Source organism: Homo sapiens, chromosome 2 (assembly GCF_000001405.40).
Source record: "Homo sapiens chromosome 2, GRCh38.p14 Primary Assembly".
Taxonomy (NCBI): domain Eukaryota; kingdom Metazoa; phylum Chordata; class Mammalia; order Primates; family Hominidae; genus Homo; species Homo sapiens.
In genome coordinates, this window is record NC_000002.12 from 96533276 (window position 1) to 96554478 (window position 21203).

A 21203-nucleotide genomic window follows, 5' to 3' on the forward strand; every position below is an offset into this window, starting at 1 on the left:
CCGTTCCCCTCCCCCAGGGGAATTCAGCTTCCACCCTTCAGGCTCAGGAAGTTCAGAACCATGGGTTTCTACCCTGCTGGGACACACTGGGGAGATGTGGGGTGGAGAGGGGAAACCAGCCCAGCCCTGGCCCAACACAGGAAATCTTTCCAGATTGGCTGGAGGTTGGAGGGAACCTAGAGCCAGGTGCAGATGCAGCTTCCAGTGTGGACAAAGCTTGGGAAGCTGGTTTACACGCGCCCTGGGGTACAGTGGCCAAAGCTCTTTCAGGCAGGAAGTTGGCCCTTGGTGATCTGGGACTCACAACCACCTCCCCACTCCTTCACCCCCAGCAGTTCCCCAAAGGCCAAAAGCTATTCTTGTCTTTTTCTAAAAGAGGCATTTGAACCATGAGCCAATTTTTTCCATTCCTGAGCTTGGGTATCATCTATTTCGGGCATTTGTTGTTTTCCATGAGTTGCAAATGCTGCTGTGAAGCTGGCCTTTCCTGGACAGCTAGCACGGGGAACGAGGAGTTAGGCAAGCAGGGCGGGGCCGCGTTAAAAATACTTCCCCACTTCATTTCTCCTTTGAAAACAAACCCCCAGGGGCCTTTGGCAACTGCTGAGCCTGGGAACTGAGCTTCCCAGGATAGAAGACTGGCTGTGCATTCTGTTTCCTGAGGGCACTGGATGGGTTTGCAGGTCCCAGAAGAAACAAAAGCACTGATTTTGCTGTGTGACTTTGGACAGTTTGCTTAACCTCTCTGGCCTGGTGACCTCCTTTCTAAAATGAGACCAGGTGGACAGATGATCTTGAATGGTCCCTATATCTCTGAGAGCTCCAGGATGAGAACCACCCCCAGGGCCAGATTTTCTTCCTAGAAATGGGCTAACAAGAGGTGCTAGGACATGGAGGTGGGAGTTAGAAAGCAGCTTTTAGCTCAGTCTCTGGGAACACTTTGTGAGCTCCTTAGCCCTGGAACTGTTCTAAGGGGGTCTATAATGTTCTCAGCAGGATTCATGTAATTGCAAAAAGATTAAACGCTATCAAGAGGAGATTAAATACACTGTGCTGGGCACACAGCCCAGCAGTTCCCAAAGAAGCAGATCTGTGTTCCAACAAGGAAAGTCTGTAAGATCTAGCGGTGATCGAAAAAGCAAGTTTCAGAATGGAGCAATGAGAATTGTATCGTTTCTTTAAACACACACATAAAACAAAGCTATCTATTTTTCTATACCATGGATACATATATAGTTTTGAAAATACACATAGGGAAAGTTCTGGAAGACTTCACCCAATCTGATGGGTCTTTACCTCTGGGGCAGGGAGGGAACTGGATTTGGTGTAGCATCAGAGAGGGCTGATTTACTTGCATGTTTTTACAGGACGAATGTGTTTATTTATAAGTGATGGTTTGTTTTTCTTATTATTAAGACACACAGAGAGACACCAGGACACTGAGGGGCTAGCTGACCCCCTCTGTAGGCACAGAGGCGTCCTGGCCTGGGATCCTGTGGTTGGAGGGTGCAGAGGAGGGTGGCTTTGGGCCGGAGTGGAGGTGTGTGAGATGGAGGCTTGAGCAATGGAAGTGTTTATGCTTTTAGCCAGATGAATGGAGATGTCTGTTTTCTGCAGGATTTACTGGCCATTGTAAATTACTTTCTATTGCAAACAGTTGCCTCAGGAAGCAATTAAATTTAGATCCTATCGTTCCCAGGCTGGCACAGGCAGGTGTTGACTTGCTGAGGCTTTGCACAACAGCCCTTGTCTGTCAGAATGTGCCCAGCTGCCCGGATGGCAGAATAACCCTAACTCTTGGTGGGATGAGCTGCTGTCTTATAAGATAGTGAGTTCCTTGTCATTAGGGGTATCCAACCCACAAGTGAGGGGTTGGCCTAGATTGTGACCCCGGGGGCTGCATCCAGAGCTCCATCCCCAACCTTGGGCATAGTGCCTGCCAATCAATGCTTCCAGAATGTACAAAGGTGCTTCCTGATGGCATCCCATCATAGTGTCTTCCACCACAGCCTTAGCTTTCCTGGAGGGGAAAGTGGCTTGTAAACTTGCCAAAGTGGGATGCATTGTTATAATTACCATTATGATTGTTCTGGGTGTCTATTACCAATTCTACAGGTGCTGGCTCTTACAAGCCAACCCATTATGAGGTAGACAGGGGATTTATCCTGCAGAGCCCACAGGGTCGTCTGCTCTAGACTGAGCCTGCAGACATCTTCCATCCCAGGGCCAAAGGGTAAGGGCCAGGGTTTCAGGTTCACCAAACTGCAGCCCTGGTCCCTTCGTTTAGTGTGAGGAGGGGCACCAGTATGATGAGTGGTTAGTAATGGGTGCAAAGCGGGTGGGGGGATGCCTGGGTATGAGGGCTCCTCTTCCTGGGTCTAGCTCTGGCTCCAACACCTACCAGCTGTGCTACTTGAGCTAATCTCTCAGACCTCAGTTTTACGCTATAAAATGAGGACAATGATGGTGTCAAGTGCATAGAGCTATTATGAGTATTAAAATTCATCAACAAAGATTTTTGTGTAGCTTCTATGTGCTAGGAACAGGGTTCCCATCCTAGCTAGCCACCTGCTGAGACTGAAACCCTGAGCCTCCATTTCTTCCTCTTTGGCCTGCACAGGTCCAGGTTGCTGCTATGGCTGGCTGGGCACCTCCTCCTGCCTCCATTCGCCCTAGGCCTCATTCCCACCTCCCACAGCCTGAACTCATGCCCCTTCTTTGGACTACTCAGCTTGTAGCTGCCACACTCTGTCTGCATTATGTGTGTGGACATTGACTATTACTGGCAGGCCTGGCCACAGAGCCTAGGCCAAGGATTTACTAGTTTGGTCCTTGTCTAGCTCACACTAACCACCTCTCCTTTTTTTTTTTTTTTTTTTTTTTTTTTTTTTTTTTGAGGCAGGGTCTCCGTCTATTGCCCAGGATCCAGGATAGAGTGCAGTGGTGTGATCAAAACACACTGCAGCCTCGACCTTCTGGGCTCAAGTGATCCTCCCGCCTCCGCCTCCCAAAGCAGGGATTCCAGGCGTGAGCCGCCGCTCCCGGCCTCACCTGGCCTTCTTTGTTGGGCTAGGTGGGGACTGGGAAATGCACAGGGCCACTTTCAAATCAAAGTCAGAAGCACTTTGCTCGCTCCACAGAGTCCTCAGTGCTCTGCTGAAAGCAAGGAGGCTTTTTCCAAGGCTCTAGTTTTGCCTCCAGGGAAACTGAGGCACAAGGCAGCAATGATTACTGAGGGTCCTGCCTCCGCTCCTCTAGGTGAGGAGCCTATTCCAGGGGCTCCAGTCTGAAAGCCTAGAGGCGAGGGGCGCGCACTACAATTCCCAGAGGTCCCCGGACTCAAGGGCGGTCCCCGCCCCCCGCCTTCTCCGCGCGACGAAGCCGGGCTTACCAATGGGAGCCCGGAGTGGGGCGAGCAGGGGCGGGACGGGGCGGGACTGCGGGGAGGTGGCCGGCGGGCCGCGCCGCGAGCCAGTATCTCAGAGAGCGCGGGGTCCGGACAGCCGCGCGCTGAGGGTCTCGGGGCGGGCGCCGCGGGACCTCTCCGGGCCATGGGTAAGCGGCTCTGCGGCGCGGCCCGGACAGGGGCTCGGCGGCCCTGCAGGGAGGTTCAAGGTGCCGGCGCCGGGTCCCCTCCAGCCCTCGTGGCAGTCGGTGCGCTGTGTGGGGCGGAGAGGGGCCCGGGGTGGGTTTCGGGGCGCGGGCCAAGGGGAGCGAGCCCGGCCCGCGGCTTCAGCGCTCCCCGGCCGGCGCGGAAGGGGTGAGGCTGGGCGTCCGCGCGAGCTTCGAGAAAAGGAAAGACAAAAAGTTTTGGCGGCCAGGGGCTTCCCGGGCGTTTATCTCGAAACTCTTTTCGCCGTCTCTTGCCTGAAATATGCCGAGCCCGGTACGGCTCTGTCGTCCCACTTCCTGCTGCGGTTTCCACCTCGAGCTGGGCTCAGCTAATTTGTTGTGACAGCTGTCGGCAGCCGCCCCTCCGCCCCGTGACATCCCGCAGGTTTCAGAACCGCGGCGCCGCCGGGCACAGACTCCGGGTCCAGAGCGCGCGGCCCTTTCCTCTGCGGCCGCCGTTTCCTGAAAGGGGCTGCGCGGGTGTGAAGAACTTGCTCAATGCGCTTTGTAGGATCCACTGTTCCTCTTTCGGCCGCGGGCTGCGCCGATGGTCCGGGGAGCCCGGCTTCTCGCCCCCTGCCCCTTCCTTCTCTTCCCTTTTCTCTTTTCCTCTCCTGTCTCTCCGCCCACCCGCCGCAGCCCCACAGGAGAGGGGTCGCTTCCCTGGTTGCTCTCCTCTCCTGTCCCTTGTGTGTCCCCTTGTCTTCCCTCGGTCTGCAGAAGGGACGGGGTGGCGGCTGGGGAGCGTCAGGGGAAGAGGGCAAGAGCGTGGGCTACGAGCTTGCAGGCGATGCCCGGCTTCGCGCTCGGCGGGAGCTGCGGGCCAACCCGGGCCCGCGCTCCGTCCCTCCGCGGTGTCTAGGGGTCGCCCGGGCTGGGGTCGCGTCACCCTCCGCCCAGCGCCGGCGTGGTGGGGCTTGCGCGGTGCAGGACCCCCGAGGGCCCAGGGGGTCCCAAGGCGCTGCGGGTCCAGTGTCCCTTTGTTTGCAGAGTCTTGGGCCAGTAAGGAGTGCTCCGCGGGCCCCAGGGGAGGACAACAGGTGCCTCTTGCCCCACCCGGGCTCCTCTGGTGGGAGCCCACACGCACGGTGGCGTCACTGCGCCTACAGGCAACGCTAGAGCACAGGAGGGGTGGGAGGTCGGGGCTCGAGGGCTTCACCCCGCAGCAGAGCTCAGAGCCCAATCCAGGCCTTAGGGACCCGCCTGGGGCCTAGAACTTGGTGTGGCAGAGGTAGAAAGGGCCTCCGATAATCTGCTTCTACAGTTGAGAGACGTCAACTGGCACCTCTGAGCCTCTGCCCCGTAGGTGAAATGGGAACACACGAAACCATCTGAGGAGCTCTCACTGTCCGTCACCACCAAATGTGGCCCAGACTCCGTGGGGAGGGACAGTCCCATCCTGGAACTGGGGCTTTTAGGACATCCCAGAGCCCGGTAAGAGGGACAGGGAGAATGGGGCTTGGAAGTTGGTAGCCTCACATTCAGTGTCCCCCGCACCTCCTTCCCTTTCTGTACCCTCTGGTGGCTCTTGTGGCCTCAGCTGCCCCCAGACCCTGTCTCTCTCGCCCTCCCCCAAGCTGAGGTACTGAGGTTGGGCTGTGGCTTGAGCTGCACCTGTGCCCTGTTAGGGAGTGGGGGTCCCAGGCCCATCGCGTTTCTTCTCACTGCTGGCTCCAGCTCAACACTTGGCAGGCCCCCCTCCCCAAACTGCTGGAGCAAGCTCGCGTAGACTCGGCCTGGCCGCCGCTCCCGGGCTGCCGAGTGGACCGGCCGTTTCGCCGCTTCAAAGGCTGTCTTTGTTTTGCTCCAGCTCAAGCTTAGAGAAACTTAAGCCAACAACCTCAGCCGAGGGGGCGGGGCGGCGTCTGCTGGTTGTTATTGAGGCTGCTGTTACCATTATTGTGGTAATTGACGCAGTGTTCCCAGTCGGTGACTTTTCATGAAAGGAAGTGTCACTTCCTTCCCATCACACCCAGGGTGAGTGGGGCGGGCAGCAGAAAGATGGGGAGGGAGAGAAGGAAAGGGGTGTGTGCCTCCAGCAGACCCTTAAACTTGAGAGCTGTGTGGCCTTGTACTAGTCACTGCCCCTCTCTGGGCAACAGGGGTCTGTAAGTCCATTGCGCTCATCCTGCACCCAGGAGGCTGATGTTTCCGGAGCACCTGCTGGGCAGCGAGGTGCCTTGGGGAGGGAGCAGGACAGGCAGGCCTCTGATCTTCTCACTGAGCCTGGCTGTGGTTTGTGGGGGAAGCCTCCTTTCTCTTCTCACTTTTTTCTGCTGAGAACATTGGGCACATTGAGTCTAGCACGCCCATCTTGTAGATGGGGAAAGGGAGATACAGAACCAGTGACCAACTTGGTAAGAGGTGCAGCCATGCAGTGCTGGAACCCCTTGCCCCATCTGTCCTCTTGGCCCACTTTCATCTGCTTCCAGCTTGATGTCTGGCAGGGCAGGGGCCCACTGACTTCCCCGCATCCACCCACTGCCTGGCCCCATAGCTACCTTCTAGTCCTGGCTAAGCCCCGTGAGACATCTTAAGTTTGTCTTCAGTGACTCTCAACCACCGCCCGACTGCCTTCACCTTCCTGCCTTTGCATACCTGCCTTTGCTTCGCCAGGTTGGTTGGGCCCTGGCCAGAGCTGGCCCCCTACTCTCTCAGGTAACAGGTAGCAGTTTTTTAAATGGAATCTCAGTAGGTATCAACAGGTCTTTCCTCCTTCCTCAAGATTATGGAGATAACACCCCTTATTCAAAGATGGTGGGTCCTCTGGGCCCTCCCCGACCCAGGCCAGGGAAGTTGATTCATAGAGTGTGGGGGCCATGCCCCTTCCCGGCCCTCCCCCTCTCCCCGCTGCTGCCCAGCTCTCTGACCAGCCCCCTCCCATCCCTGAGCCTGGATGCCTTAGCAGTCAACACAGACCTGCTCTTGTTAGCAGAGTGACAGGAGCGATGTGCTGGGAAACTGCACATCTACTTGGGGAAAGGGGACAAGTTTGCATCCTCTGAGCACAGATAAGGAACTTGAGGTCTCCCTGCTCCCATTAGAAAGAAAAAAATCTCTAGCTCTCAGGGATCAGCGTCTCTCAGGAGTCAGACTACCCTGGTTCTGAATCCCAGCTCTGCCATGGATAAGCTCTGTGGCCCCAGGCAAGTTACTGAACCTCTCTGAGCCTCAGACATTATATCTGTTATATCTGGATGGCTGGGAAGATTCAGCAATGCAATGTTGTATGAGATGCCTAGCCCACACCAGCCAGGGCACTGATTTGAGTCGGTGGAGCATGTAACTTGAGAACAAGTAGACCTATGGGAGCATCCTCTACTGGAGGCAGTGACAGACTAACATCTTCAGTGCTGGAGTTTTAGGATCTGGGAGTTGAGCTTGACTCAGACAGGAGCTATGGAGTTGGAAAGAAATCAGACTCATAGCACAGGAAGAGCCTCAGGCAATCCTCCTGCCCAGCACCCTGCCGCACCCCCTCTCTGCTTAGTAAGGGACTGGGTCACTAGGAGCCCAGGCTCATCTTCTGGCGCAGCCACCTAGCCTGCCTCGGCCCTCTTCCCAGCAGTGAAATGAGGAAATCGCAGGGGGGCTTTTGTGGAGTGAACTACTGTTATCAGGGTTTTTCTAACACCATTTTCTAGCTGCACAAAACTCAAGGAACAAACTAGGAATAAACCTCCCCAAGAAAGCACAGGGGCTTTTTAAGAAGGAACTTCTGAGGACTGCAGAGGGAAACCTGAATTATGGAGACACATGGTCCTGAAAAGAAAGATGCAATACTGTAAAGGTATTATTTCTCCTCAAAGTAGTTTCTAAATTTAAATGCAATCAAAGCCCCAGTAGTGGGGGTTTTTTGTTTGTTTGTTTGTTTGTTTTGGAGACGGAGTCTCTGTCACCCAGGCTGGAGTGCAGTGGCCTAATCTCAGCTCACTGCAACCTCCACCTCCTGGGTTCAAGCAATTCTCCTGCCTCAGCCTCCCGAGTAGCTGGGATTATTGGCGTGTGCCACCACGCCCACTAATTTTTGTATTTGTAGTGGAGATGGGGTTTCACCATGTTGGCCAGGCTGGTCTCGAGCTCCTTACCTCAAGTGATCTGCCTGCCTTGGCCTCCCAAAGTGCCAGGATTACAGGCGTGAGCCACCGCACCTGGCCTTTTTTTTTTTTGAGAAGGAATCTCGCTCTGTCGCCAGGCTGGAATGCAGTGGCGCGAGCTCAGCTCACTGCAACCTCCACCTCCTGGGTTCAAGCGATTCTCCTGCCTCAGCCTCCTGAGTAGCTGGGACTACAGGCATGCGCCACCACCCCCAGCTAATTTTTGTATTTTTAGTAGAGACGAGGTTTCACCATGTTGGCCAGGATGGTCTCGATCTCTTGACCTCATGATCTGCCCGCCTCGGCCTCCCAAAGTGTTTTTGTTTTTGTTTTTTTTTAAAGGGAATGTAACAGAATTATCCCAAAGTTCAAATGGAATATTTTTAAAAGATGAGTAATATTGGGCAACTTGCCCTCTGGATAGTAAGTTGTTTTATAAAGCTACAAAAATTAAAACAGTGTGCACAGGTCCTAGCATCCCACTGTGGATGAGACAGAATAGAAAGTCCAGAAATAGTCCCAGATGTGTTCCTTATAAGCACTGACATTATGGGGAAAGTAGCATTTTACACCATTGGAGGAGGAGGCTACTCACTGGGGCCCCCAACCAATGAGGGGAAAGTATGGCTAGGATCCCTATTTCATCCTGTATACTGGAATAGATTCCAGATGTGTTACAAGTGAGTAATGAGACAATAATCACCATCATCATCATTATTGCTTGCTGGATGGAGAAAGGTGAAGTCTGGATGACATTCTTATGGAGAGCAGTTTTCTTTTTTGCATTTGATCCCCCACTTCTGTTACAAATAAAACATGTAAGGCATTGTGCCAGAAAAGAATCTGCACACACAGGCTGGGAACAAGGCAGTAGTGCGGTGGCTCACAGCAGCAGCAGCAGCTATCAGGGGCAAGTGGGTTTCTCCTGCCTCTGTGGGCTGAGTGGGGCTGGGAGACGGGGCCTCCAGCTCCATAAGCCTTTTCCCTCCTCCACAGAGCCAGGAGAGGGCCCACCCCACCATGCAGGTCCTGCCTGCCTGGCTCCCAGCTCTCTACCTCCCAACGCTGGACCTGCATGGCCCAACATCTATGGCAGCGGGTTTCAAGCTTATTTTTTATAGCAGAACCCCTTTTACAAATATAACCCTGATCTGTGAATGATCAGGGAAAGGGAGGGATTAGGGCAGCCAGGGACAAGACAGAGGGCACCCTGGAGACCAAGGGGGAGAGGACTCTCCCTTCTTGCTCATCTAATGCTGCAGAAGAGGGGGCCCAAAGGCCTGCAACCCAGAGGGCCCTGGCAGGACAGAGCACTAACCCTGAGAATGGAGACCGAGTTCATCTGGGGACTCAGCTGGACACAGAGATAGAATGTTTCCCTTTGTGGCTTAAGGCGAACAGCTCTAATCCCTTTCCCATCTGGGGTTAAACAGCTCGGATTGGTGACCTCCTTTCCAGGTAACACGAGCACCCAACTCCAGGAGATTTTCCCCTGGTGTGGTCCAGGCAGAGCTTGCAAACTCTGAACCATGCAGAAGGGACTAGGGCCCCTCTCGCCCTGTGGCTCACAACCTGGCTGCCCACTGGGATGCCCTGGGGAGCTTTAAACCCTGCTGCCCCACCTTGGACCTTAAATCAGACTCTGAGGATGGGGCCGGAGCATTATGCTCCTCCAGGTGATTCTGATGGGCCCTGTCTAACCACTGTATTTTTCTGAAGCCCAAGGTGCAGCGACTTGCCAAGGGTCACATAGCAAGTCTGTGACTTAAGAAGCCCCAGTCACACCAAGGAAGACATGGAGAGGGTCTGTCGATGCTGAGGCTCTGGGGCAGCAGGAATGAGGGGAGGGGATGTGTGAGCTGAGGGTAGCAGGCAGTGGGAGAAGAGCCAGTGGAGGAGGTGCTTCTGGACCTGGAAGACTTCAGGAATTCACGGATAGCTAGCAAAGAACTCAAGGATCTTCCTCTCCCATTTCATAGCAGGGAAGACTGAAGCACAGAGTCACAGAGGACTTGGTTGGAAAGGCATCAGTCTGCTGGGTCACTTGTTAGTACCCAGGATTTCTGGAGACTGGTGGGTCAGAGGCTAGCCCAAGAGGGTGGCCCTGGTCTCTTTCTCTTTGACAAGCCTTAGGACTGGTTTCTCTCCAGGCTTACTTGGACTCTTCATGAAGGCCTTGCAAATGTTGATAACCACAGCAGCCACTGGACCAGAATCAGACTTTGTTTTGAATCCTGGTCCCCCAGGGAGGCAAGCAACTTACCCATAACCATTCTGGCTTCAGATTCCCCCTCTTTAAAATGGAATTCCTCCGGGACTGAGGGAGAGAATGTACAGGCACACCTTGCTCTATCATGCTTTGCTTTATTGTACTTCACAAATACAGCATTTTTTACTCATTGAAGGTTTGTGGCAACCCAGCATCGAGCAAGTCTATCGATGCCATTTTTTAACAGCACGTGCTCACTTTGTGTCTCGGTGTCACATTTTGGTGATTCTTACAACATTTCAAACTTTTTCATTATTATATCTGTTATGGTGATCTGTGATCAGTGATCTTTGATGTTCCTATTGTCATTGTTTTGGGGTACCATGAACCCCACCCACAAAGACAGTGAACTAAATCGATAAATGTTGTGTGTGCTCCTCCTCCACCTGCTCCATCGACCAGCATTCCCCATCTCTCTTCCTCTCTTTCTCTTCTTTGGCCTCCCTGTTGCCTAAGGCACAACAATATTGAAACTGGGCCAATTAACAGTCCTACAATGGTCTTTAAGTGTTCAAGTGAAAGGAGGAGTTACAGGTCTTTACTTTTAAATAAAAAAACTAGAAATAATTAAACTTAGTGAGGAAGGCAGGTCGAAAGCCCAGATAGGCCGAAAGCTAGGCCTCTTGCACCAGTTTGTCAAGTTGTGAATGCCAAGGAAAAGTTATTGAAGGAAATCAGAAGTGCTATTCCAGTGAACACGCATGGTAAAGCAAAACAGCCTTATTGCTGATAATGGAGAAAGTTTGAGAAGTCTGGATAGAAGATCCAACAAGCCATAACATTCCCTTAAGACAAAGCCTAATCCAGACCAAGGCTCTAAATCTCCAATGCTGTGAAGGCTGAGAGAGGTGAGGAAGCTGCAGAAGAAAAGTTGGAAGCTAGCAGAGGTTGCTTCATGAGGTTTAAGGAAAGACGCCATCACCATCACATAAAAGTGCAAGGCGAATCAACCAGGGCTGGTGTAGAAGCTGCAGCAATTTATCCAGAAGATCCAGCTAAGATCACTGATGAAGGTGGCCACACTACCACAGATTTTCCATGTAGATGAAACAGCTTTGTATCAGAAGAAGATGTCATCTAGGACTTTCATAGCTAAGGAGAAGTCAATGCATGGCTTCAAAAGACAGGCTGACTCTCTTGTTAGGGGCTAATGCAGCTGGTACTGGTGACTTTAAGTTGAAGCCTGTGCTCATTTATCATTCCAAAAAACCTAGAACCTTTAAGAATTATGCTAAATCTACTCACTCTGTGTTCTAAAAATGAAATAACAAAGCCTGGATGACAGCACATCTGTTTATAACATGGTTTACTGAGTATTTTAAGCCAACTGTTGAGACCTACTGCTCAGAAAAAAGGATTCCTTTCAAAATATTATTGTTCATTGACAAGGCAACCGGTCATGCAAGAGCGCTGATGAAAATGTACCAGGAGCTGCATGTTGTTTTCATGCCTACTAGCACAACATTTATTCTAGAGCCAAGGATCAAGGAGTAATTTTAAGTTTCAAGTCTTATTATTTAAGAAATACATTTTGTAAGACTGTAGCTGCCATAGATAGTGATTCCTCTGATGGGCAAAATACATTGAAAACCTCCGGAGAGCATTTCAGGTACATTTGTGGTTCGTGGGAGGAGGTCAAAATATCCAAGCATTTGGGAGAATTTGATTCCAACCTTCCTGGATGACTTTGAGGGCTTCAAGACTTCAGTGGAGAAGACACTGCAGATGCAGTGGAACCAGCAAGAGAACTAGAGTTAGAAAGCAGAGCTTGAGGATGAGACTGAATTGCTGCAATCTCATGATCAAACTTGAGTGGATGAGGAGTTGCTTTTTATGGGTGGGCAAAGAAAGTGACTTTTTTTCTTCTTTTTTTTTCTTTCCTTTTCTTTTCTTTTTCTTTTTCTTTTTTTTTTTTTTTTTTGAGACAGAGTCTTGTTCCATCGCCCAGACTGGAGTACAGTGGAGTAATCTCAGCTCACTGCAGCCTCCGCCTCCTAGGTTCAAAGGATTCTCCTGCCTCAGCCTCCTGAGTTGCTGGGACTACTGGGACCTGCCACCACACCCAGCTGACTTTTGTGTTTTTAGTAGAGACAGGGTTTCGCCACGTTGGCCAGGCTGGTCTCAAACTTCTGACCTCAGGTGATCCACCCACCTTGGCCCCCAAAGTGCTGGGATTACAGGCGTGAGCCACCGCGCCCATCCTAAAGTGGCTTCTTGAGGTGGAATCTACTGGCGAAGATGCTGTGAACATTGTCAAAATGACAACAAAGGATTTAGAATGTTACAGAAACTTAGTTGATAAAGCAGCAGCAGGGTTTGAGAGGAGGGACATCAGTTTTGAAAGTTTTGCTGTGGATAAAATGCTGTCAAAAATAGCATCACATGCATGCCATGGAGAAGTCTTTCATGAAAGGAAGAGTTGCCAGGTGCAGTGGCTCATGCCTGTAATCCCAGCACTTTGGGAGGCCGAGGTGGGTGGATCATGAGGTCAGGAGTTTGAGACCAGTCTGGCCAATATGGTGAAACCCCGTCTCTACTAAAAATACAAAAATTAGCCGGGCTTAGTGGCACGCACCTGTAGTCCCAGCTACTCGGGAGGCTGAGGCAGGAGAATCACTTGAACCTGGGAGGCGAAGATTGCAGTGAGCCAAGATCACGCCACTGCACTCCAGCCTGGGCAACAGAGCAAGATTCTGACTCAAAAAAAAAAAAAGAGTTAATGGATGTGGCAAACTTCATTGTTGTCTTATTTTAAGAAATTGCCACAGTCACCCCAGCCCAAGAAACCACCACCCTGAAATCAGTCAGCAGCCATCAACATGGAGGGAAGACATAAGAACACCTACCAAAGCAGGACCACTCAGTGGCCAAGGATTCTACCCTGTGCCTCTGAGTACCACTGGCCCCTGGCTTACGCTGGTTTGGGTTTCTTGTTCCTGAGGAGATTCTTTTTCTGTCTGGGATGGAAGGGAAATCTCATAGGTTCCTAACAATAAGGATGTCCTGGGAGGGAGTGAACCAATTCATACTTGATTAACAAAAGAACAAAGGACAGAAAGAAAAGGTTGTCAGAAGATGTGGGTTCCTGGTCTGGTATCTGCTGCCAGCCTGCTGTGTGGCCTCAGGCAGTTTCCAGTGGTTGTGGTTTTTGCAGTGGCAGAGGTGTTGCGTTTTTGCAACCATCAGCACATGGTGGTTCTTAGTAAAATACAGCCCATGGCTTCTCCTGCCCACCACGCAGGGTTGTTGTGAGCCTTGCTCATTCCAGCTTGGCACCTGCTGTGTGGGGTATGGGAAGCCTCACCGAACTATCAGGGAGCCCCAGGAGCCACAGGCAGTTCAGCCAGGATGGCTGTGAGTAGCCTAGGGCGAGGGAGGAGCTGCCCGTGGCCAGGGGCCAGAGGAGGCCACCCAGAGGAAGGCACTTGTCAGCAGAGACCTGAGGGGTCACCAGGACCCTTGTAGGTGAGGAGAGCATGTGGCCTTATTAGGGCAGTTAGAACTCTGCAGATGCTCAGGGAAAGGTCAGATATTCCTGAATATTCCCAGAGGAACTACTACCCAGGGACCCCTGTGTTGCTTTGGGGCCACAGCCATGGGATCCTTTAGCTCTCCAGTGAGACTAAGCTGCTTCTCAACTCTGTGTCTGAGCATGGGGCAGATTTTGGAGACAGGATTTCCCCAAGCACCACAGCCCAACCCCGGCCTCCTGTGACTTGACCTCAAGGTGGTTTTGCGTTTCCTTCAAAGATGTGGGGAGATAGTTGGAGCAGAGGAAAGAAAAGGGACAGGTGTGGAGCGGATGCAGCGGGTTGTCGGGGAGCGGGGAGGAGGGCCTGTGTGTGTGTGTGCATGTAGCCTATGTGCAGCCAGGGACACACCCCTTCCCCCTGGCCAATTCTTTTTTTTTTTTTAATAATAGAGACGGGGTCTCACTACGTTGCCCAGACAGGTCTTGAACTCCTGACCTCAGGTCATCGCCTGCCTGGGCCTCCCAAAGTGCTGGGATCACAGGAGTGAGCCCCTGCACTGGCGCCCTCTGGCAACTCCAATTGGGAGTAGGGAGAGTGCTCCTGTTCCTCCCTGCTTGCATCTCATATGCTCTCTCCCCACCCCTTCCTCCTTACTCCTTCCCTCTCTCCTTGCAGCAGCCCCTGTCAAAGGGAACAGGAAGCAGTCCACGGAGGGTGACGCCCTAGACCCACCTGCATCCCCCAAACCTGCTGGCAAGCAGAACGGAATCCAGAACCCCATCTCGCTGGAGGTGAGTTGACTCCCTCTGCTGACTCCCTGGGCACTCTTCCCTGCCACCCTCACCTGTGCTCCGCCTCCAGGTGAACCTGGACACTCCCCAAGCTCTCAGGAGGGAGATATGTTCCTACCCTGGCCCTGCCCAGCAGCCAGGGGACTTACTTGTCATCTGTGGCAGAGAGTTTCAATCTTGGTTTTTGTAGCAGAACCCTTTTTTGAAATGAAGATGACCTACCACCCTGATCCATTAAACAGACAAAAGCTCCAGCCCATGATGTAAAACCACATTCACATCCATTCATTCAGATGCATAACATGGGCGTATAAAGTCACTCGGTGAGACCAGCAAGACTGTTTCGATGAGCACAGAATCTGAAGGGGGAGCTGCAGGCAGCTTTTTCGGAGCACAGTCGGCCCCGGCTTTCATTCATTTTGGCCATTTGCTTTGGTGGCACAGTCTGGAAAAATATCCTGATTCATGCAGAAAAGTGGTTGCAAATGGTAGTTGTCTTTAGCAGCTTGCCAGGAATTCAGAATAGAGGCCTGGAGGAGCAGATTGACTTGAGCAGTTATGAGAGAGCCTTCCTTCTGAGGTCTGCACAGACCAGCCCCAGGGCCCCAGCATGTTATGATTTCATGGGTGATATGTGAGTTCCTATGTTGTTTCTTCTTAGAGGTCTTTAATACCTTAAAAACACTGAGCTATTACAGAAGCTATTTACAACTAACAAAAAAAGTAAAAACACTGAAATAAACTTGAATCAATTATTATTTTTTTTTTTAGACAGAGTCTCACTGTTACCCAGGCTGGAGTGCAGTGGCACAATCTTGGCTCACTGCAACCTCCAGCTCCTGGGTTCAAATGATTCTTCTGCCTCAGCCTCCCGAGTAGCTGGGATTACAGGCATGCACTACCAGGCCTGGCTAATTTTTGTATTTTTAGTAGAGATGGGATTTCCCCATGTTGGCCAGGCTGGTCTCAAACTCCTGACCTCAAGTGATCTCTCTGCCCACCTCGGCCTCCCAAAGTGCTGGGATTACAGGAGTGAGCCACCGTGCCCAGCTGGATCAAATATTTTTGGAACACATGGCTGTCTGCGCTGTCCTAGTCCAGATGGTTTATGTCCTGGAAGCTGTCTGTTCTCTGAGCAGGGTATGGGCCCTAGGCTCTCTGCCCCGAGCCACTCGCTGGATAAACGGCATCAGCAGAGATTGCCCCTCTGGGACCCGCAACCAAAAGTCCTGTGCCCCTGACAGCAGTGCGCAATTGAAGCCCAGAGCTTCACCTCCCTGTGCTCAGCACGGCAGGCTGGGGCCACACAGAGGCTCGGGGAACATGGGCCTCACAGAGTAACCCCAGGGCACCAGAAAGCACCAAGCACCTTTGTTCCTTCAGCTTTTCCCTCTGCGGTTATGGGGGAGTCCCAGGGACACTGAGCCTGCCCTCCTGGAGTTCCTAGTCTGGCGGAGGAGCTGACACAAATAGGACAAATCAAGAACAAGACAGAGAAGTGACCCTGGCCTGGAGAAGGCTGGGGACTGCTCTCGTGGCAGCCTCTGGAGCCAGCTGCTCTGGGGTACCCAGCCTCCGGGGAGGTCCTGGACTCTAGCTCCTGTCCTGGGGCGCTGAGAGCTGACACCTGTGTCTGCCGAACCCAGGAACAGTCACTCCCTCCCAGAACAGTGGCTAGGTGTTCTCTGGGAAACTGGGGTTGGGGTAGGTACCTTATTCCTCCTGCAGCCAGTGGTTTCTGCACATCCCCAGCAGCCAGCCACCAACTGGGGCCCATCCCAATGCCTCCTGTTCTCTCCCCAGGACTCCCCCGAGGCAGGCGGGGAGCGGGAGGAGGAGCAGGAGCGGGAGGAGGAGCAGGCCTTCCTGGTCAGCCTCTACAAGTTCATGAAGGAGCGACACACGCCCATCGAGAGGGTGCCCCATCTCGGCTTCAAGCAGAGTGCGTCCCTGGGGTGCAGGCAGGGAGGGGGGCCCAGCAGGGGACCCCGCCCAGGCAGGGCATCGGGCAGGCACTCCCACTCTGGGTGACCCAGGTTGCAGATAGAAAGGAGGCCTCCCTCCAGGCTGCCACTGGGCCAGGGGTGCACAGGGCACAGCCTGCCCGTCTATTGCAGTGGCCCTGGCTGGGTGTGTGCTGGTCTGTGCCTGGCCTGTCAGGGCACCAGGAAGGGGTGGCATGCTGTCCCCACCTCCCACAGAGACTGACGGCCAGCCTGCTCTTCTCTCCCCCAGTTAACCTGTGGAAGATCTACAAAGCAGTGGAGAAGCTGGGGGCCTATGAGCTGGTAAGGAAGGCACCTCCCAGTCCTTGCCAAACTGCATATCCCTGGGGTGAGCCTGCAGCGCTGTCCTTGCCTCTGGACAGAGGAAGAGCCAGGATCCCCAGTCCTACCCCTGCGTCCCTGCCTCCCTGCCTTCCCCGCTGGTACTCTGCTGCTCAAAGCAGCTTTTCAGCCTTCCCCATCTGTTCTGCCCGCCCCGTGTTGGGAAAACTGCTTGGGCCAGCAGTCCATGGCCCTAGGAGAGAGAATCGGCTGGCCGCTGCTGGAGCCGCAGAGCAGCTGCCAAACTGCAGTCCTTCGAGTCCCTGCGAGGGCGGCCGGAGCTGCAAGGACCCCGCCGCCAGGGGGCGCCCGCCGGCCGCGCCCTCACGAGGTGCCCTTGCAGGTGACCGGGCGCCGCCTCTGGAAGAACGTGTACGACGAGCTGGGGGGCAGCCCAGGCAGCACCAGCGCGGCCACGTGCACGCGCCGCCACTACGAGAGGTACGGCGGGGCGGGCCCGGGTGCTGGACGCCGCCTACCCTGCGGGGCTTTGGCCGACCTTGCCGGGAGGGCCGGGTGGACTCTGCCCGGAGCGGGCAGGGTATGCGCCGTCCTCAGAGCTGCGGGAGCCCAGGCTGGCTGGGCGCACTCACTGAGGGAGCTGAAGCTTTGGGACCAGGAGAGGGCCTTCCTCGGCGCCGGCGGGGAAGGGGGCTCAGAGGAGGCTACAGAGGCCCAGGGAGGGGATGGGCGCCGGCCTCCTGGGGGACATGCGTGGTTCCTCACCAGGCTGGTCCTGCCATACGTGCGGCACCTGAAGGGGGAGGATGACAAGCCGCTGCCCACCTCCAAGCCCAGGAAACAGTACAAGATGGCTAAGGAGAACAGGGGGGATGATGGGGCCACCGAGAGGCCGAAGAAGGCCAAGGAGGAGCGGCGCATGGACCAGGTAGGCCTGCGGCTGGCTGGGGCCACCCTGTCCCTTGCCTCTTGTAGCCCCCTACCCCACAACTCCCTGTGGCCGCGGAGCTGTCTGCTCAGAATACACAGAACCTGCACCCAGGGCGGGACTTGCAAGGTTCCAGGTTCTCCACAGATGGTTGTGCAAGTGGACTCTGAACTCCAGCCTGCGCCCACCCACCAGGCACCTGAGGCTGTGTCCACTCAGAGGACAGGGCACCTTTGGAAAATTCTGTACAGAGGACTGCAGGGGCTGGCGGGGGACCTGGGCAGGCCTGAAAGTGCCACCTCTTGCTCCTCAGGTCAGGATGTGGGGCTGAGGCAGTCCTGAGGCAAGACTTTCTCTCATTCCAGATGATGCCAGGAAAGACCAAAGCAGATGCTGCTGACCCAGCACCACTTCCCAGCCAGGAGCCCCCCAGGAACAGCACAGAACAGCAGGGCCTGGCCTCTGGGTCTTCTGTGTCCTTTGTGGGTGCCAGCGGCTGTCCTGAGGCCTACAAGCGGCTCCTATCCAGCTTCTACTGCAAGGGGACACACGGCATCATGTCACCACTGGCCAAAAAGAAGCTCCTGGCCCAGGTGAGCAAGGTGGAGGCCTTGCAGTGCCAGGAGGAGGGCTGCCGCCATGGGGCAGAGCCCCAGGCGTCCCCAGCTGTTCACCTCCCAGAGAGTCCCCAGAGCCCCAAAGGGCTGACTGAGAACTCCAGGCACCGGCTGACCCCTCAGGAGGGATTGCAGGCCCCAGGTGGCAGCCTCAGAGAGGAGGCGCAGGCAGGCCCCTGCCCGGCAGCCCCCATCTTCAAGGGCTGCTTCTACACCCACCCCACCGAGGTGCTGAAGCCTGTCAGCCAGCACCCCAGGGACTTCTTCTCTAGACTTAAAGATGGGGTGCTATTGGGGCCTCCTGGCAAAGAGGGGCTGTCAGTGAAAGAGCCCCAGCTGGTGTGGGGCGGAGACGCTAACCGCCCTTCTGCGTTCCATAAAGGTGGCTCCAGAAAGGGCATCCTCTACCCCAAGCCCAAAGCCTGCTGGGTGTCCCCCATGGCCAAGGTCCCAGCCGAGAGCCCCACGCTCCCGCCCACCTTCCCCAGTAGCCCAGGCCTGGGCAGCAAGCGCAGCCTGGAGGAAGAGGGTGCTGCCCACAGTGGGAAGAGACTGCGGGCCGTGTCTCCCTTTCTTAAGGAGGCGGATGCCAAGAAGTGTGGGGCCAAACCTGCAGGGTCCGGCCTGGTCTCCTGCCTTCTGGGCCCAGCCCTGGGGCCTGTGCCCCCAGAGGCCTACAGGGGCACCATGCTGCACTGCCCGCTGAACTTCACTGGCACCCCGGGCCCCTTGAAGGGCCAGGCTGCACTCCCCTTCAGCCCCCTGGTCATCCCGGCCTTCCCGGCCCACTTCCTGGCCACCGCAGGCCCCTCGCCCATGGCCGCTGGCCTGATGCACTTCCCCCCAACGTCCTTCGACAGTGCCCTCCGCCACAGACTTTGCCCGGCCTCATCTGCCTGGCACGCACCACCAGTCACAACCTATGCAGCGCCCCACTTCTTCCACCTCAACACCAAGCTGTAGGCCAGCCCATGGTGTTGTGTACACTGTGGAGTCGACAGGGGCCTACAACAGGCAGGTACTGCTGCCAGGGGGCTCTGAACTAGTGCCTGCTACCCAGGACACCCGGGCCATGCCCCTGGCTGGGCAGCCTGGCACAAGTGAAGAAGAAGGCAGTGGGAAAACTGGGTTTATCTCAAGGCAGCAGCCTGAGCCCAGGAGCAGAGGACCCAGTTGTTATAAGGCGCTGGGAGAGGATGGGCAGCTCCCACTGCCCCAGAGCGGAGCTCGAAGCACCCAGGTTGCCCACGGAAAATCCAATAAAAAGACACCAGTGTGAATCCACGTAGCCCTGAGGTGTGTGTGGTATGGGCCTTTGCAACGGCAGGCAAGGCGGGGGTGAGCTTGTGGGTGGGGCTGCCATTAGGGGGCCAAGGAGGTGGACCTGAACGCCACTACCCCACTGAAGAGCGGGCCCAAAGCAAACCCCAGCCTCTGCCGTTTAGGCAGCCTCTAACATCTGTCCTTGCCTTCAGTCCAGTTTCCTAGTTGAGCTTCAGGGAATGCTTGCTGCCTTCCTCATTGTGGAGATGGGGATTGGAGGTCCTGGGAGGGTCGGTGACTTGCCCAGGTTCCCCTGGCAGGAGGGGCAGGGGAGGGCTGCACAGGCTGTGTGACTCCCGTGCTCTGAGCGGGACCCCAGGCTGTTACCAGTGCCCCTGGGGGGTTGGGGGTGTGACCAGGAAGCCTGAGTTGGTCTGCGTTGGTGGTGGATGTAGATTTCTGGGGCCTGCAGCTGAGCCCTCTCTGCAGCCCCACCCCACTTGCCTGAACCGCATGGACAGACCAGAATGACCACTGGATTGAAATCACCGGAGGTGCCTGGAGGGAAAGGGGAGCAAATCCACTGGTCTGGGCCTGGGTGTCTGCATCGGTAACAAGCCCCTGCAGTTTCAGATGTGGTTGCCCCAGGGCTCATATTAGAATCCCTGCGGCTTGACGCCCTGCTTCCTGCAGGCCGGATGGGAGCAGGGCCTTGGCTCAGGAGGAGGGAGGGTGGGTTCTTTTCAGAGGCACTGTCCCCTCCCTCCACAAGCAGCCTGCACCCAAACAGCTTCACATGTAGTCCTGGAAAAGTGGGGCTACTGCTGGCCAAGCAGAGGGCAGATGTCGGGGCTACAGGTGTGAGCAGGTCAGTGGGTGACACGCACCACTGGAACTTACCCTGGCCGCTGGGGCTGGGATGCTCATGAACTCCGGCCATGGGAAGGGCCCCCATAGGTTGCAGGTAGAGAGGCCAAGGCCGGGGATGGGCAGGGTCTTGCTTGCCCAAGGCTACCATCCACGATGACAGAACCCAGACCAGGGAACGTGCAGCATGCCTGGCACCAGGGAGTGGGTGGCCAGGCCAAAAGGGCACCCTATCCAGCCCCTGCCCCTGGCCACCTCCTTCAGGAGCAGCCTGTGGAGGAGAGCTCAGGCACCTTCCAAGCGAGGCCTGTGACGGGTGGAGGGGCAAAGAGTGGTGCTCCCTGCTGTTGAGAGCACTCAGGCTCTGCAGGGGCATCTCCCAACCTTCCACCTCTTTCCTTCTGAGAGATGCCAAGATGTCAGCCTGAGCACCTGGAGTGACCAGCCCTGAGCTCCGCACTGCCACATGCGCCCGTGTGCAGTCCATCTCTCCGAGCTGTGGAGGCTCAGTGGATGATAAAGAACGGGGAGGGGCTGGGTGCAGTGGCTAACACCTGTAATCCCAGCATTTTGGGAGGCCAAGGGGGGTGGATCACCTGAGGTCAGGAGTTTGTGACCAGCCTGGCCAAGATGGTGAAACTCCATCTGTACAAAAACTACAAAAATTAGCCAGGCATGGTGGCGGGCACCTGTAATCCCAGGTACTTGGGAGTCTGAGGCAGGAGAATCACTTGAACTCGGGAGGCAGAGGTTGCAGCGAGCCGAGACTGCGCCACTGCACTCCAGCCTGGGCAACGAGCAAAACTCGGTCTCAAAAAAAAAAGAAGGGAGGAGCTGAGTTCTGCCCACCCTCCAGGCCCTGGGTGCTGGGCCACAGATCACTGGGGTCGGATCCCCTGCCTGGATAAAAGGGGAGGTGACCCTGTTGTGTGCAGGGTCCTGCCCAGCATGGGGCAGGGTGCCCTTCATCTACGAAGCAACATTGGCCTGGCCCTGGC

General features: G+C 55.1%; 1 protein-coding gene across 13 annotated transcripts, besides 6 other annotated features; it reads left to right on the plus strand.

Moving 5' to 3' along the window:
• Positions 3396-3755: a silencer, noted in NCBI's record as "silent region_11771". NCBI's record gives its function as "represses an Ori minimal core promoter by ATAC-STARR-seq in GM12878 lymphoblastoid cells {active_cell/tissue: GM12878}" and the evidence as "EXISTENCE:reporter gene assay evidence [ECO:0000049][PMID:35858748]".
• Positions 3477-19363, plus strand: ARID5A (AT-rich interaction domain 5A). Of its 13 annotated transcripts, XM_017003183.2 has the most exons (9): positions 3477-3555; positions 4877-5046; positions 7257-7402; positions 14127-14242; positions 16046-16184; positions 16478-16530; positions 16754-17010; positions 17299-17458; positions 17824-19363. In XM_017003183.2, exons 3-9 carry the CDS (start codon positions 7369-7371, stop codon positions 19036-19038), a joined length of 1974 nt encoding a protein of 657 aa, XP_016858672.1. In that variant the 5' UTR covers positions 3477-3555; positions 4877-5046; positions 7257-7368; the 3' UTR covers positions 19039-19363. The 13 variants fall into 13 exon arrangements, with proteins under 13 accessions (XP_016858672.1, XP_047298956.1, XP_011508801.1 ...); XM_047443001.1 differs by lacking the exon at positions 3477-3555 and having other exon boundaries at positions 4604-5046; positions 16913-17010; XM_047443000.1 differs by having other exon boundaries at positions 3477-7402.
• Positions 4436-4645: a silencer, noted in NCBI's record as "silent region_11772". NCBI's record gives its function as "represses an Ori minimal core promoter by ATAC-STARR-seq in GM12878 lymphoblastoid cells {active_cell/tissue: GM12878}" and the evidence as "EXISTENCE:reporter gene assay evidence [ECO:0000049][PMID:35858748]".
• Positions 4916-5035: an enhancer, noted in NCBI's record as "active region_16221". NCBI's record gives its function as "activates an Ori minimal core promoter by ATAC-STARR-seq in GM12878 lymphoblastoid cells {active_cell/tissue: GM12878}" and the evidence as "EXISTENCE:reporter gene assay evidence [ECO:0000049][PMID:35858748]".
• Positions 5253-5798: an enhancer, noted in NCBI's record as "NANOG-H3K4me1 hESC enhancer chr2:97204265-97204810 (GRCh37/hg19 assembly coordinates)". NCBI's record gives its function as "activates a minimal SCP1, AML or CMV promoter by ChIP-STARR-seq in primed H9 embryonic stem cells {active_cell/tissue: H9 hESC(primed)}" and the evidence as "EXISTENCE:reporter gene assay evidence [ECO:0000049][PMID:30033119]".
• Positions 18681-18740: an enhancer, noted in NCBI's record as "active region_16222". NCBI's record gives its function as "activates an Ori minimal core promoter by ATAC-STARR-seq in GM12878 lymphoblastoid cells {active_cell/tissue: GM12878}" and the evidence as "EXISTENCE:reporter gene assay evidence [ECO:0000049][PMID:35858748]".
• Positions 20534-21059: an enhancer, noted in NCBI's record as "H3K4me1 hESC enhancer chr2:97219546-97220071 (GRCh37/hg19 assembly coordinates)". NCBI's record gives its function as "activates a minimal SCP1, AML or CMV promoter by ChIP-STARR-seq in naive H9 embryonic stem cells {active_cell/tissue: H9 hESC(naive)}" and the evidence as "EXISTENCE:reporter gene assay evidence [ECO:0000049][PMID:30033119]".